Source organism: Homo sapiens, chromosome 7 (assembly GCF_000001405.40).
Source record: "Homo sapiens chromosome 7, GRCh38.p14 Primary Assembly".
In the NCBI taxonomy this organism is placed as follows: Eukaryota; Metazoa; Chordata; class Mammalia; order Primates; family Hominidae; genus Homo; species Homo sapiens.
Genome location: NC_000007.14, coordinates 5,819,444 through 5,836,723, shown reverse-complemented (window position 1 = coordinate 5,836,723; position 17,280 = coordinate 5,819,444). Strand labels below are relative to the sequence as shown.

The 17,280-nt window shown below is 47.3% G+C and overlaps 1 pseudogene across 1 annotated transcript in view, besides 2 other annotated features; it reads right to left on the bottom strand.

Annotated features, from left to right (window-relative positions):
- The window catches only part of ZNF815P (zinc finger protein 815, pseudogene), a 31,276-nt pseudogene extending 17,712 nt beyond the window's left edge, over positions 1-13,564 (bottom strand). Inside the window, 2 exon segments of the transcript NR_023382.1 lie at positions 3,156-3,197; positions 13,198-13,564. The product of NR_023382.1 is annotated as a zinc finger protein 815, pseudogene (transcript).
- Positions 4,804-5,304: an enhancer, noted in NCBI's record as "H3K4me1 hESC enhancer chr7:5871051-5871551 (GRCh37/hg19 assembly coordinates)". NCBI's record gives its function as "activates a minimal SCP1, AML or CMV promoter by ChIP-STARR-seq in naive H9 embryonic stem cells {active_cell/tissue: H9 hESC(naive)}" and the evidence as "EXISTENCE:reporter gene assay evidence [ECO:0000049][PMID:30033119]".
- Positions 13,696-13,975: an enhancer, noted in NCBI's record as "active region_25612". NCBI's record gives its function as "activates an Ori minimal core promoter by ATAC-STARR-seq in GM12878 lymphoblastoid cells {active_cell/tissue: GM12878}" and the evidence as "EXISTENCE:reporter gene assay evidence [ECO:0000049][PMID:35858748]".

The following is a 17,280-nucleotide window of genomic DNA, read 5'->3' as shown; positions in this document are numbered from 1 at the left end:
GCTCACGCCTGTACTCCCAGCACTTTGGGAGGCCGAGGCGGGTGGATCACGAGGTCAGAAGATCCAGACCATCCTGGCTAACACGGTGAAACCCCATCTCTACTAAAAATACAAAAAAGTTAGCTGGGCGTGGTGGCGGGCGCCTGTACTCCCAGCTTTTCAGGAGGCTGAGGCAGGAGCATGACGTGAACCCGGGAGGCAGAGGTTGCAGGGAGCTGAGATCGCGCCACTGCACTCCAGCCTGAGTGACACAGCGAGACTCACTCTCCAAAAAACAAAAAACAAAAAACAGTGGCTTCCGACAAAGACAACAAGGGAAACCTCCAGCTTCACAGACAGGGTGGGTGTGGCTCGCCACCTTGTTGTAGCCTCTCCTACTGCTCTGAGACATTTCTGGTGTGAAACACCTAGACATCCCTGGCTTCACAAAGCACAAAGAAACCCAGGCTCTGTGAACGTTTTCCTTCCTGGAGTGGACAGTGGTAATGTTCACGAGGCCTCATCTTCCTCTGGGACCAGCCCCTTCCTGCCCCTGTGCACAGCTGCCTGGTCAGAGGGCCTAATACACCTGAGCTAGGCTGGACCAACAGAATCCTCCCCGAAAAGCTTTCAAAATTGGATCACTGAAGGGAGATTCAGTCCCTCACCGTGGCAGAACTTGCAGCTGTGAGGAGAGGAGCTGGGGCTACACTATTTCTGGGCACACTGACAAAGTCAGCATGAGAAGAAAGTCACAGAAGCGCCGGGTGCAGTGGCTCATGCCTGTAATCCCAGCACTTTGGGAGGCTGAGGTGAGCGGATCACAAGGTCAGGAGATTGAGACCATCCTGGCTAACATGATGAAACCCCATCTCTACTAAAAATAGAAAAAATTAGCCAGGCGTGGTGGCGGGTGCCTATAGTCCCAGCTACTGGGGAGGCTGAGGCAGGAGAATGGTGTGAACCCGGGAGGGGGAGCTTGCAGTGAGCTGAGATTGCGCCGCTGCACTCCAGCCTGGGCAACAGAGCGCGACTCCGTCTCAAAAAAAAAAAAAAAAAAAAAGTCACAGAAGCACAGACCAGGGAAGAAAGATTCCTGGCGATACCTGGTTTGCCGGATGCCTCTGGAGCCTGACTGCACACCTGCTCTTCCCAGGACTCGCATGCTGCCTTATAGATTTTTTTTTTTTTTTTTTTTGAGACAGGCTCTCCCTCTGTTGCCCAGGCTAGAGTCCAAAGGCACGATCACAGCTCATTGCAGCCTGGACCTCCTAGGCTCAAGTGATCCTCCCACCTTAGCCTCCCCTGCAGCTGGGAGTACAGGCATGTGCCACTACACCTGGATAATTTTTCTATTTTTTGTAGAGATGGGCTCTTGCCACATTACCCAGGCTGGTCTTGAACTCCTGGCCTCAAGCAATCCTCCTGCCTCACCTTCCCAAAGTTCTAGAATTACTTTTTTTTTTTTTAATCCTAACCTACTTCTAGTTGGATTTCTGGCTCTTCCAACTTCAAGGATTAGAACTTCTAACCAGTGCACTCCACACTCACACATTCCTAGAACCCGGGGTTCAGAGCAGGAGGAGGAGAATGCTTCCAGGCTGATGGAAAACACTGATGTCACTCACATGCAAAGAGAGCTAACAGCCAAGTGGGCGGATCACCTGAGGTCAGGAGTTCGAGACCAGCTTGGCTAATATGATGAAACTCCATCTCTAAAAATACAAAAATTAGTCGGGCATGGTGGCACATGCCTATATTCCCAGCTACTCCGGAGGCTGAGGCAGGAGAATCACTTGAACCCGGGAGGCAGAGATTGCAGTGAACCAAGATAGTGCCACTGCACTCCAGCCTGGGCGACAGAGCAAGACTCCATCTCAAAAAAATTTTTTAATTAAAAAAATAAAACCCATTATGGCAAGCAATTTCAGACAAGATCAGGCACGTTCAGGGTGGTGTGGCGGTACACATGGCAGGCTGTTTCAAGAACACGCAGTTCATTCATTCGTTCCTCTAGATAATGCAGTGTTACATCCAGGTCACTTGGCACCACACAAGGCTGTCTCTGTAGACCTGAGTGTTCGGCATCCCCAAACAACCAGAATCACAGACGGCTGCTTTGGCATAATATCTGCTGTTTATACAGAGAGGAAGAAAAGTCACAAGAGATTTCCTGTTGTGTTTCTTTCAAGGTGGTTGTTATTGAGGAACGGGTCTGCCACATCTTACATACAAAGATCAAATACATCTTTAAATCTTGAAAGAGCTGTATTCCCCCCGAGAATTAGACACGGTTGTCCAAAACAGACAACACAAGTCATATATTAGATGGAATCTGCCTGCCTTTTTTAAGTGACAGGAATGTCAGATATAAATTTACAAGGCATCGGGCTGGGCACAGTGGCTCACGCCTGTAATCCCAGTACTTTGGGAGGCCGAGGTGGGCAGATCACTTGAAGCCAGGAGTTTGAGACCAGCCTGGCCAACGTGGTGAAACCTCATCTTTACTAAAAATACAAAAATTAGCTGTGTGTGGTAGCAGGTGCCTGTAAGCAGGTGCCTGTAAGGAGGCTGAGGCAGGAGAATTGCTTGAACCCAGGAGGCAGAGGTTGCAGTGGGCCGAGATTATGCCACTGCACTCCAGCCTAGATGATAGAGCCAGACTCTGTCTCAAAAAAGAATTTACAAGGCATCTCACAACTGCAGCAGCCTCTACAGTCTCTCCACCCTGTCCTTCCCACAGCCGTGACCTTCCATTCTCTTCCTGTTTTCACTGATCCTGACTTCTGTTTGCATTTTATCAGATTTTTTTTTTTTTTTTGAGACAGAGTCTCACTCTGTCACCCAGGCTGAAGTGCAGTGGTATGATCTCAGCTCACTGCAATCTCCACCTCCCAGGTTCAAGTGGTTCTCCTGCCTCAGCCTCCCAAGTAGCTGGGATTACAGGCACCCACCACCACACCCATCTAATTTTGTATTTTTAGTAGAGACAAGGTTTCACCACATTGGCCAGGTTGGTCTCAAACTCCTGACCTCAAGTGATCCACCCGCTTTGGCTTCCCACAGTGCTGGGATTACCAGTGTGAGCCACCACACCCAGCCTTTATTAGTCATGTTCTTATGAGCATCCAAAATCCCTGCTGAAAAAGTGCAGTAGAAAGAAATGCCACACTCACCTGGGCCATGGTTCTTCCTTGCTGTTGTGGGAAAGCAGGTATCTGTGAAGGCAGACATCAGAGTGGGGAGAGAGGATATGAGAGGCCACGCTTGCCCGTGGGCTCCCGATCAACTGCTGAGACCACCCCCACCCCCCGCCTCGCGGGCACAGGTGGGAGAAAGCCTTCTCTGAAGGATCCCCATTATCAGAGCAAAGCCCTCACCTTGGAAATGTCATAGGGACTCAATCTCATGAGGCCTGACTTGGATTTTTGTTTTGTTTTTTGAGACAGGGTTTCACTCTGTCACCCAGGCTGGAATGCAGCGATGCAATCAGAACTCAATGCAGCCCTGGACTCCCAGGCTCCAGCGATCCTCCCACCTCAGCCTCCCGAGAAGCTGGGACTATAGGTGTGTCACACGCCCAGCTAATTTTTAAATTTTTTGGTAGAGAAGGCGGTCTCACTGTATTGCACAGGCTGGTCTCAAACTCCTGGGTTCAAGCAATCTGCCCATCTCAGCCTCCCAAAACCTTGGGATTACAGGGGTGAACCACCACGACTGACTGGAGTTTTTCTTAATGAATATGTGTATCTATGTCTCAGTAACCAATGTGCAATTTACTACAATCCCCACCCATTACCCAAAAATGTAATTATTAGAAATCTATTCTGAAGAAACAGGCCAGATGCAGAGGCTCACGCCTGTAATCACCACACTTTGGGAGGCCGAGGCAGGTGCATCACCTAAGGTCAGGAGTTCAAGACCCGCTTGGCCAATATGGTGAAACCCCATCTCTACTAAAATACAAAAATCAGCCAGGTGTGGTGGCACATGCCTGTAATCCCAGCTACTCAAGAGGCTGAGGCAGGAGAATCTCTTGAACTTGGGAGGCAGAGATCACAGGGAGCCGAGATTGTGCTGTACCACTGCACTCCAGCCTGGGCAACAAAGCGAGCTTGCATCCCCCCAAAAAATGATAAGAAAACTTTTTGGGGGATGGGGTCTGGCTCTGTTGCCCAGGCTAGAGTGCAGTGGTACGGCACAATCTTGGCTTCCTGTGACTTGTCCCTGTAATCCTAGCTACTTGGGAGGCTGAGGCAGGAGAATCGCTTGAGCCTCGGAGGTGGAGGTGGCAGTGAGCTGTGATTGCGCCACTATACTCCAGCCTGGGCAACAGAGTGAGACTCCGTCTAAAAACTCAAAACATATATATATATATATGCTTTTTGTAGAGTCAGGGTCCCGCTATGTTGCTCAGGCTGGTCTCGAACTCCTGGCCTCAAGAGATCCTCCCGCCTTGGCCTCCCAAAGTGCTGGGATTACAAGCATGCATCACTGTGCCTGGCCTGTTTCTTGTCTGTATACATCGACTACAAACTACAGCACATGTAATAAGTTTGTAAACATACATCTATAAAGAAAAAATTCTGGGCCAGGCACAGTGGCTCAAGCCTGTAATCCCAGCACTTTGGGAGGCCAAGGTGAGTGGATCACTTGAGGTCAGGAGTTCGAGACCAGCCTGGCTAACATGGCAAAACCCTGTCTCTACTAAAAATACCAAAATTAGCTGGGTGTGGTGGTGCATGCCTGTAATCCCAGCTACTCAGGAGACTGAGGCAGGAGAATTGCTTGAACCCAGGGGGTGGAGGCTGCAGTGAGCCGAGATCACACCACTGCACTCCAGCCTGGGTAAGAGCGAGATTCCATATCAAAAAAAACAAACATAAAAATAAACTGATTAATACAAATGCTCTCTGGGTGCTCACGAGAAAGATCGGGGCTGGGCAGAAGACCAGAGAGACTTCCTTGGGAGTGAAGGTCTGGAGGAGGGATGCGGCTGCCGTGGAGGGAAACATGCGAAGCCCCCTCCCGAACTTTCTCTTCTGAGGAACAAAAGCCTCAAGCTGCCAGGGGAATGGCAGTCAACCCTGTTGCCACCAGAACACAGGCAAGACCTTGTGCCTTCCTCCTTGAACCAGGGACAGGAATATATCCTGGGCTCAGGCTTAAAGGTCTCCTGACACGAGGGGAGGGACAGGATCACTGTGACTCAGAGACCCAGGGCCCACCCTGGACTGAGAAGACAAAGAGAACCCCTCCACCCACAGGCCTGGAGATGCAAGCAGCAGCCGTCAACACAAGGAGGGGATCAAGAGCGGAAGGTCCCATTCGCAGCACAAAGCGATGCTACGGAATTGTGAAGCTAGTGGCCCACTGCGGTAACCATGGTGACCAGCCCACCGCCCACTCAACTCCTGGCTGGACACGGTTCAACCACCCTCCAGCGCTCCCTGCTCCTTACACAGTAACAGCTCAGCAGAACTGGCTCATGTCCTCGTGTCTGCTCTCCTACGCAAGTCTAGCCTTCAAGACTAGCCAGAGATGGAAACGGAAAAAACAACCCACTGAAAAGAAGCAAAGCAACAAACAGATATTAATTCCATCTCAGCAACAAACAGATATTAATTCCATCTCAGGTCAGCATCAGCAAGTGTATGTCACGGAGATGCGCTGCAAACGAACACAAAATCCAAAACCAAAAAGACAAAAGGAAGAGAAACCAATACATCTTCCATCACAGTAAAAGATTTTTTTCTTTTTTTGAGACAGTGTCACCCAGGCTGCAGTGCAGTGGCGTGATCTCAGCTCACTGCAACCTCCACCTCCTGGGTTCAAGTGATTCTCCTGCCTCAGCCTCCCAAGTAGCTGGAATTACAGGCACGTGCCACTACGCCCAGCTAATTTTTGTATTTTTAGTAGAGATGGGGTTTCACTATGTTGGCCACGCTGGTCTTGAACTCCTGACCTCAGGTGATCTTGCTGCCTCGGCCTCCCGAAGTGCTGGGATTGCAGGCGTGAGCCCCCGCGCCTGGCCATCTTCCTCCCTTCTTTTTAAATTTCTGCTCATTCTCTTTTACCTTTGGGGTTTTGCTCTTTTTTTCTCTTTTTTAAATATCTTTTTCTGGAAGACACAGACTGGACAATGGGGGTAGATGCTCCCTATTCTTTTTTCTGTGGAAGCCACCTGAGCTAAATGTCATTAAGTTTCACTCCTTGTATTTAACATATGTATTAGGACTAGCCGGGTGCAGTGGCTCACTCCTGTAATCCCAGCACTTTGGGAGTCCGAGGTGGGCGGATCATGAGGTCAGGAGATCGAGACCATCCTGGCTAACATGGTGAAACCTAGTCTCTACTAAAAACACACACACACACACACACACAAAAATTAGCCAGGCTTGGTGGCAGGCACTGGCAATCCCAGCTATGCGGGAGGCTGAGGCAGGAGAATGGCATGAACCCGGAAGGCGGAGCTTGCAGTGAGCCGAGATCATGCCACTGCACTCCAGCCTGCGCGACAGAGCGAGACTCCATCTCAAAAAAAAAAAAAAAAAAAAAAAAAAAAAGGTATTAGGACTTTAATAATACATTAAAAAGAAAAAACTAAAATCAATTCTTGGAAAGGTTTGATTAAACCTAATAAAGTAATTGGTTTGTATTTAAGATTAATAAAATTGACCGGAAGCCAGGCACAATTGAGTAAGAGAAGGCAAAGATAAACCATTTGTGCACATGAAAAAGACAATTTCAGATACGGTCGAGGTTTATAATTGTAAGATCAGTATAAACAATTGCCATAAATTCAAAATTAAATGGGATACTTTTCTAGAAAATATAAATTACTAAAATTGACTGACAAACAGAAAACCAGAATAAACCACTCAACATTAAATGAAATGGATTCATCTTAAAAAATATAGCCATTGGGGAAACACCAGGAATTTTACCACATTCTACTCAAGATTTTTGCAGTGTTCATAAGACAAAGTGAATTTATATATAAAATATATGCTAAAAATAAATGAGAAAGACAACCCCTAAAGAAATATAGGCAAAGGTGATAAACATACAAAGCAATCTTATACACTGTTCATGGCTACACTCCTGTCTAGTAAATAAACAAAAACATAGATATATAGCAATTTTGGCCAGACACAGTGGCTCACGCCTATAATCCCTGCACTTTGGGAGGCCAGGGTGGGTGGATCACTTGAGGCCAGGAATTCAAGACCAGCATGGCCAACATGGGGAAAACCCTGTCTCTACTAAAAATACAAAAATTAGCCAGGTGTGGTGGTGGGTGCCTGTAATACCAGCTACTTGGGAGGCTGAGGCGTGAGAATCACTTGAACTCAGGAGGCAGAGGTTGCAGTGAGCCGGGATTGTACTGCTGCACTCCAGCCTGGGTGACAGAGTGAAACTCCATCTCAAAAAAAAAAAAAAAAAAAAAAAAAGGCAAGCATCAAAAGCAATCCTGAATACTAAAAGAAAAATACATACATTCCATAGATCCCACTGACTCAAAAAATAAAATTAGAAAATAAAAAGAATGCAAAAAAATATTTAAACCACTAAATACACTAAATATGAAATGAATCCATACTCAAAAGTATTCCCAAAGAAATACCAAGCCTGTATGTTTTTTAGGAATTTTATCAAACTCTCTTCAAGACTTTTGCGACATGTGTAAGTGGTTTATTTGGGTTTTGTATATGTCAGTCAATTTTAGCAATTTACAATTTTCTACAAATGTGTCTTAATTTCAGATTTATGCCATTAAATGATTTATAGTAACATCTCACTTTTTATAAACATCTACTGACCAGGTGCGGTGGCTCACACCTGTCATACCAGCACTTTGGGAGGCCAAGGTGGGTGGATCACCTCAGGTCAAGAGTTTGAGACCAGCCTCGTCAACATGGTAAAACCTTGTCTCTACTAAAACTACAAAAAAAAAAATTAGCTGGACATGGTGGCGCATGCCTGTAGCCCCAGCTACTCGGGGAGGCTGAGGCAGGAGAATCGCTTCAACCCAGGAGGTGGAGATTGCAGTGAGCCAAGATCATGCCACTGCACTCCAGCCTGGGCGACAGAGGGAGACTCCATCTCAAAAAACAAACAAACAAACAAAAGGCCAGGCATGGTGGCTCATGCTGTAATCCCAGCACTTTGGGAGGCTGAGGCAGGCGGATTGCCTGAAGTCATGAGGCTGAGGTGGGTGGATTGCCTGAGGTCAGGAGTTTGAGACCAGGCTGGCCAACATAGTGAAACCCCATCTCTACTAAAAATACAAAAAAATTAGCCGGGCATGGTGGCGTGCGCCTGCAATCCCAGCTACTCCAGAGGGTGAGGTAGGGGAATTGCTTGAACCAGGGAGATGGAGGTTGCGGTGGAGCCAAGATCACGCCACTGCACTCCGGCCTGGGCGACAGAGCAAGACTCCGTCTCAAAAAAAAAAAAAAAAAATCTATCTACTGTATCTGAAATCATCTCTTCCATTCTAAAATAGCCGATTTCTATTCTCCCTCGACCAGTGCAGACTGAAGTTTGTCTAAATTTATTCATTTTAAATACAACCAAATTTTTGTTTGTTTTTAACAAATCCTTTCCAATAAGTAATTTTAGCTTTTTCTTTTTAACTTTTTACTTGAGTGACTTGAGACTCAAAAGAAAGTCTCAAGAATAGTATGAAGAATTTCCAAATACCCTTCTCATCTACATCTCCCAAATATTAACATTTTACCACATTTATGCAGGCGGCTGATGAAAAAGGTCCCACCACAAGGTGGCAGAGTACACACCTGGGCGAGGCTTTGTGCAGGCAGGAAGGCCCTCAGGTTAGAGGCCATCCCAGGGCTGTGGCATGGGGGCCATTACCCAGAAGGAGAGGGGGCAGGGACAGCTCCTGGGTATCTCTGAGAGCCTTAGGGTCTTTTTTTTTTTTTTTTTTTTTGATATGGAATCTTGCTCTGTCACCCAGTCTGGAGTGCAGTGACACGATCTCCAACCTCCGCCTCCCGGGTTCAAGCAATTCACCTGCCTCAGCCTCCCGAGTAGCTGGGATTACAGGCCCCTGCCATCATGTCTAGCTAATTTTTGAATTTTTGTAGAGACGGGGTTTCCCCATGTTGGCCAAGCTGGTCGTGAACTCCTCACCTCAGGGGATCCGCCTGCCTCAGCCTCCCAATGTGCTGGGGTTAAAGGCATGAGCCACCGTGCCCAGCTAGCCTTGGGGTCTTGAAAGCCACATGGTTTGTCTTATACATGGCCAGCAGATGTTGGGTGCAGTTTCCCAGGTATGTACAGCAAGAGATCTCTAAATCACTACAAATCTGCATGTACTTCGGCTATGATTCAAACAACTGGGGCCAGGCATAATGGCTCACACCTGTAATCCCAGCACTCAGGGAGGCCAAGGTGAGAGGATCCCTTGAGCCCAGGAGTTCAAGGCCAGCCTGGGCAACATAGCGAGACTCCTGTCTCTATTAGAAAATAAAACAGGCCAGGCGTGGTGGCTCACGCCTGTAATCCCAGCACTTTGGGAGGCCAAGGCGGGTGGATCACCTGAGATTAGGAGTTCAAGACCACCCTGGCCAACATGGTGAAACCCTGTCCCTACTGAAACTACAAAAATTAGCCAGGTGTGGTGGTGGGTGACTGTAATACCAGCTACTGGGGAGGCTTAGGCAGGAGAATCACTTGAACCCGGGGGGCAGAGGTTGCAGTGAGCCGAGATCACACCACTGCACTCCAGCCTGGGCAACAGAGCAACTGTCTCAAAAAGAAAAAAAAAATAAATTATTCAATTTAGGTTTAATGTCTCATGATTAGATTCAGGTGATACGTTGTGGCAGAAATTTTTTTTGTTTTAACTTGCTCTATTTTTTTAAGTGGGAAAACACTTAATTCCATAAAACAGAGTATATGTTCGTCTCTTCCTTTTAATTTCTCCTCATATGCTTTTACTTTCGGGGGTTTGAGCTTGTTTTTTCTTTTTTTTTTTTGAGAGGGAGTCTCGCTCTGTCGCGCCGGCTAGAGTGCAGTGGCACAATCTCGGCTCACTGCCAGCTCTGCCTCCCGGGTTCACGCCATTCTCCTGCCTCAGCCTCCCGAGTAGCTGGGACTACAGGTGCCTGCCACCACACGCGGCTAATTTTTTGTACTTTTAGTAGAGATGCGGTTTCACCGTGTTAGCCACGACGGTCTCGATCTCCTGACCTCGTGATCCGCCTGCCTCAGCCTCCCAAATTGCTGGGATTACAGGCATGAGCCACCATGCCCAGCCCCTATTCTCTTTTCTATGCTAACCACCTGAGCTGAATGTCATTAAGTTTCATTCTTTTTATTTAACACATATATTAGGACTACAGTAATAAGTTAAAAAGAAAAAAAATCAATTTTTGGAAAGGTCTTATTAAAACTAATAAAATAACTGGTTTGTATTTAAAATTAATAAAATCGACCAGATTCCAGGCACAATTGAGCAAGAGAAGGCATGAAAAAGACAATTTCAGATATGGTCAAGGTTTGATTTTTTTTTTTTTTTTTTTGAGATAGGGTCTCACTCTGTCGCGCAGACAAGAGTGCAGTGGCGTGATCTCGGCTCACTGCAACCTCCGCCTCCCAGGCTCACGCGATTCTCTTGCCTCTGCCTCTTGAGTAGCTGGGATTACAGGCGTGTGCCACTACTGCCCAGCTAATTTTTTTTTTGGTATTTTTAGTAGACACGGGGTTTCACCATGTTGGCCCGGCTGGTATCCAACTCCTGACCTCATGTGATACACCCGCCTTGACCTCCCAAAGTGCTGCAATTACAGGTGTGAGCCACAGCGCCCAGCCATGGTCGAGGTTTATAAGATTACTCTAAATAATTGCCATAAATTCAAAATTAAATGGGACACTTTCCTAGAAAATATAAATTACTAAAATTGACTGGCAAACAGAAAACCAGAATAAGCCACTCAACATTAAGTGGATCCATCCTAAAAAATACAGCCATCGGGGAAACACCAGGAATTCATTACATTCTACTCAAGATTTTTGCAATGTCTGTAACTCAAAGTGAATTTATATCTAAAAAATATGAAAAAAATGCTAAAAATAAGAAAAAGACAACCCTGAAGGAAATACAGGCAAAGGTGATGAACATACAAAGCAATCTTATACTGTTTATGGCTACACTCCTGTCTAGTAAATAAACAAAAACACGTATCAATTTTGGCCAGGTGCAGTGGCTCACGCCTGTGATCCCAGCACTCTGGGAAGCCAAGGTGGGTGGATCACTTGAGGTCAGGAGTTTAACACCAGCCTGCCCGACATGGGGAAACCCGTCTCTACCAAAAATACAAAAATTAGCCAGGTGTGGTCGTGGGCGCCTGTGATCCCACCTACTCGGGAGACAGAGGTTGCCGTGAGCCCAGATCCAGCCACTGCACTCCAGCCTGGGCGACAAGAGACTCAACCCCCCAAAATAAAAGATATATAGCAATTTTAAGTTTAATCTCAGTGAGGGAGAGTACAAAGGGTCGTCAACAGTATTTAGGAGGTTTTAGTTCTGTAAGAAAATCTGAACCCAGCATACTTTTTTTTTCACATCCATTCGGCTCAGAATGAAGTAAACTTTTGACATCTGCTCAATTTGGATCATGAGTACAAAGGCTCCATTTTCTTTTACTTTGCTATGTATTTAGATCTCTTCCAATATTACTAATCAAAAATAGCAAAAAAGAATTATGGACATGTCATAGGAAAAGCTCCTTCAGGCCGGGCAAGGTGGCTCATGCCTGTAATCCGAGCACTTTGGGAGGCCGAGGCGGGCGGATCACGAGGTCAGGAGTTCGAGACCAGCCTGACCAACATGGTGAAACCGTCTCTACTAAAAATACAAAAATCAGCCAGGCGTGGTGGCGCCCGCCTGTAATCCCAGCTATTTAGGAGGCTGAGGCAGGAGAATTCGCTTGAACCGGGGAGTTGGAGGTTGCAGTGAGCTGAGATTGTGCCACTGCACTCCAGCCTGGGCGACAGAGTGAGACTCAGTCTCAAAAAAAAAAAAAAAAAAGAAAAGAAAAACCTCTTTCAGTAAGACCCAAGTGCAAGTCGTGATAGAAAAACCACCACCACGAAAACATTTGCTCCTATCACGATTTAAAACCATAGTACCAGTTTCATTCTCTCCCCAACTCAAGTGAGTTTCATCTTAAAAAAAAAAAAAAAAACATCAAAGACAGACATCCTCTGCTAACTCCATCACATCACACCACCCCAAGTGTTGCTCACCTTTCTTCACCAAGGGCTGGAAAAGAACAGTCTACACAGAACTGCGGCAGCCGCCTCCTTCTCCTCACCCGTCTACAACAGAGGTGCTCACACTGTACGCCTTCATCTGGTGTCTCCCTACTCAATTGTCTCACACCCTCAGTCCAACCCTCATAACTCTACTTCCTGCAGGGATACTTTGACCAACACCCAAATATGATCATGCCTCTGCCTTGAAGTACTGCATTTGCAGCTGGAGCAAGAGGGAGACCCCAGCCTCGGACCTTGCTGGTCAGCCCCCCACCCCGCCCCCAGCCTCACGGCCCTGGGCGCCTCCCCTGTGCTGAGTCCTCAGTACCACCCATCATTACCCCTCAGGGATGCTCCTCCCTGGTCCTCAAAGACCCTATTGCCATTTCATCTGCAACATCTTATTTAAGTCTGACCTGAAGTCACTCCTTCCCCAGTTGAAACTGATCCTCCCTCCCCTGGGTGTCCATGCATCCTGATAGTTGAGGTAACTAACAGGGCGGCTACCCCTGGATCGCCCCCACATGTTAACGTGACCAACACCTCTGTAGGACTGCATCCAACAAGGGACCCCAGCTCCGTGCTCCCCCAGATCGGACCCAGGCACTCAGAAGATGTTTTGAATGAGCCCAGACGCCTGAAATAACCCCCCTCCACACCCTGCCTTCGTTTCCCTCCTAGCTCAGTGCCCACCACTGGCTGCGATCGGGGGTCTGCATGAGCCAAGTAGGAGAGAAAAAAGGGGGTTACCCTCTGCAAGAGACGGGGACATTCCCCAACAGCCCCCTTCTTCCCCCTAGAGACCCAGGCACCGCAGGGTAGTGGACTTCAGGGGCCTGGATGGGCAGAGAAGCTCCAGGGGAAGGGACGGCAACAAACCCACTCTTGGGGAAGAGCGGGATCCCCTGTGCAGAGAACAAGCCCCTAGCTCACCTGCGTCCAGGTGGTCACAGTGGCAGGTGCCCTGCACAAGCTTCCAGAGGACGGTGGGGTCCGAGGAAGGGCAGTGAGATGAGGGGCCAGCCGCTGCTCCGGACCCACTACCTGTAGCGTCCCCCAACCCAACTCGGCAGCACCCGACAACCCGCAGAGACGTCTGGAGGAGCCGCCCCCAAGAACCCCAGTGCAGTGCCGGCTCTGCAGCAAGTGGGTGCCGGCCACGCTCGCGCTGGGCACAGCCCCGGAGCCAGAGCGCCGCCCCCCACAACGCGTGTCTGAGGTGTCAGTCGCCGTAGGAAGAGTCTGGGGTCCGGAAGTGCGGGCATTGCAGTCCTGCACCTCAAAACACTGCGTAAAAGCAGCTCCCCCAGGGACTACAACTCCCAGAACCCCCCACGACGCCATGCTTCCGGTTAGGCTACCCTGCACTTCCAGCCACAGCCACGGCTGCAGTCACGTGGGAGGTGGCCATGGGCTGGCAGGGTGTGGCGCCGGGCTTCTGGTTGACACAGAGCTGGGGGTGAATGACACCATGCCCAGCCGGCTTTTCCTTTTGTTTCTACAAAAAGATTTTGTCTCTTTGTAAAAGGTTTTTTGTCTGGTTTCCTGGATCAGGTTTGCACATCAGGAATTGGAGTCCTTTGCACATTCAACTACGTAGATTTCCACCCTGTGGTAGATTCTACCTGTGGTTTCTACCGCGTGGTTCTAGAGTGAATTATAAACAGTAGGCCAGGCGCGGTGGCTCTTGCCTGTAATCCCAGCACTTCGGGAGGCTAAGGCGGGCAGATCACGAGGTCAGGAGTTCGAGACCATCCTGGCTAACACGGTGAAACCCTGGCTCTACTAAAAATACAAAAAATTAGCTCGGTGTCATGGTGTACACCTTTAATCCCAGCTACTCAGGAGGCTGAGGCAGGAGAATGGTGTGAACCCAGCAGGCGAAGGTTGCAGTGAGCCGAGATCGCACCATTGCACTCCAGCCCTGAGCGACAGTGTGTGACTCCGTCAAAAAAAAAAAAAAAAAAAAAAAACAAAACAAAACCAAAATAAACAGTAGAAATCATCTCCATAAAAATGATTCATTTACAAATCTTGTGGGTGTAGACTCTTTTTAGAATAATCCTTTTGGGGTTGGGCGCGGTGGCTCATGCCTGTAAACCCAGCACTTTGGAAGGTCAAGCTAGGTGGATCACCTGAGGTCAGGAGTTTGAGACCAGCCTGACCAACACGGTGAAACCCCCTCTCTACTAAAAATACAAAAATTGGCCAGGTGCAGTGGCTCACGCCTGTAATCCTAGCACTTTGGGAGGCCAAGATGGGCAATCACCTGAGGTCGGGAGTTCGAGATCAGCCTGACCAACATGGCGAAACCCCGTCTCTACTAAAAATACAAAAAAAAAAATTAGCCAGGTGTGGTGGCGCATGCCTGTAATCTGAGCTACTTGGGAGGCTGAGGCAGGAGAATCGCTTGAACCCAAGAGGCGGAGGTTGCAGTGAGCCAAGATTGCACCATTGCACTCCAGCCTGGGCAAAAAGAACTAAACTTCATCTCAAAAATAAAAATAAAAATAAATAAATAAAAACATTAGCTGGGCATGGTGGTGGACACCTGTAATCCCAGCTACTCAGGAGGCTGAGGCACAATTGTTTGAATCACTTGAACCCGGGAGGCAGAGGTTGCAGTAAGCCGAGATCACACCATGGCACTCCAGCCTGGGCGACAGAGCAAGACTGTCTCAAAATATATATATATATATATATATATATATATATATATATATATATATATATATATATATGTGTGTGTGTGTGTGTGTGTGTGTGTGTGTGTGTGTGTGTACACACACACACACACACACACACATATATATAAAAAAGGAATAATCCTTTTGGGGTTTTATGTCATTTGTTCCTTTCTTCCTATTTAGGTCATTTTTGTTATACATTTTTTTTCCAAATTGTCCTTTAATCAGGACATATTTTTAACTCAGATATTTGTTATGCCTATTACTTTTTCAAGATTTCTCTATAAATTTGCATTTTAGATCAGTGAGGGAAAAATACACCACGTAGACCCTCAAACACCATGGGTTTGAACTTCGAAGGTCCACTTATATGCAGGTTTTTTCCAACCGAACTCAGAAAATACAGTATTTGAGGGATGTGAAACTCAAACATATAGAAGCCCAACTTTTCATGTACACAGTTCCACAAGGCCAACTGTGGGACTTGAGTATGGCAGATTTGGGTATGAGGGTGATTATGGTTTGGGTCATGTTAAATTATAATACCCAGCTGGCCACGGTGGCTCACGCCTGTAATCCCAGCACTTTGGGAGGCCAAGGCAGGTGGATCACCTGAGGTCAGGAGTTCGAGACCACCCTGGCCAACATGATGAAACCCCGTCTCTACTAAAAATACAAAAATTAGCTGGGCATGGTGGTACATGCCTGTAATCCGAGCTACCTGGGAGGATGAGGCAGGAGAACTGCTTGAAGCCAGGAGGCAGAGGCTGCAGTGAGCTGAGATTGCACCACTGCACTACAGCCTGGGCGACAAAGCAAGACGCCATCTCAGGAAAAAAAAAAAAAAAAATTATAATCCCCAGTGTTGGAGGTGCATCTGGTGGGAGGCGATTGGATCATGGGGGTAGGTTTCCCCTTTCGTGCTGTACTCGTGAGAGTGAGTGACTTATCATGAGAGCTGGTTGTTTAAAAGTGTGCAGCACCTCCCGTCTTTCTCTCTCTTCCTCCTGCTCTGGCCATGTAAGACATTCCTGCTTCCCCTTTGCCTTCCGCCATGACTGTCAGTTTCCTGAGGCCTCCCCAGCCACGCTTCCTGTACAGGCTGCAGAACTGTGAGTCAATTAGACCTCTTTTCTTTATAAACTACCCAGTCTCAGATAGTTCTTTATAGCAGTATGAGAATGAACTAATACAAACGGGTTGTGTCCTGGAACCAATCCCCTCCAAATATGAAGGGCTGACTTTATTTTATTATGGTACAAAGGCTAGTACAGTGGCTCCCACCTGTAATCCAGCACTTTGGGAGGCCAAGGTACGAGGATCGCTTGAACCTGGGAGCTTGAGGCTGCAGTGAGCTATGATCACGCCACTGCACTCCAACCTGACCAACAGAGCAAAACCCTGTCTCAAAAAAAAAAAAGTAACAATAGGCTGGGGAAGGGGGCTCATGCCTGTAATCCCAGGACTTTGAGAGGCCAAGGCGGGCAGATCACAAGGTCAGGAGTTCAAGACCAGCCTGGCCAACATGGTGAAACCCTGTCTCTACTAAAATACAAAAATTAGCTGGGTGTGGTGGCAGGCATCTGTAATCCCAGCTACTAGGAAAGCTGAGGCAGGAGAATTGCTTGAACCCAGCAGGCAGAGGTTGCAGTGAGCGGAGATGGCGCCACTGCCCTCCAGCTTGAGCAACAAATCGAGACCCCCTCTCAAAAAAAAAAAAAAAGAAAAAAAAAAATGGTTGAAAATGTTTTTCTTCCCAATAAATTCATGGTTGCTATGAAACTATGAAACAGTAACACAAAAAAAATTAAATTCCTAGATCTATTTCTACAGAGTTTTCCAACAATGTTTCTCTTTTATATTGATTAGTGTCACCAGAGATTTGTCTATCACTTGTTCATTTTTCCAAAGATAAAATTTGTTTATTATTTTTTCCTCTCTTCCCTAGTAAGAGAGAAAATAAAACTCTTACAGCTATCATCTTCTAATATCAAGATAACATGAAAACTCCTATAAAATGAAAGGGAAGGTGAACATTGTAATTCTAATTACAAAATGAGAGCTAAAAATATATGCAACTATGTAATTTAGGACATGGATAAAACTGCTGTAATAGAGTTCCCAAAATAAAAGTGCCCTAAAAATTACTGATAAAGCCGAACGTGGTGGCTCATATCTGTAATCCCAGCATTTTGGAAGGTTGACGTGGGCGGATCACTTGAGGCCAGGAGTTCGAGACCAGCCTGGGCAACATGGCAAAACCCTGTCTCTACTAAAAAATACAAAAATGGCCTGTAGTGGTGGCTCATGCTTGTAATCCCAGCACTTT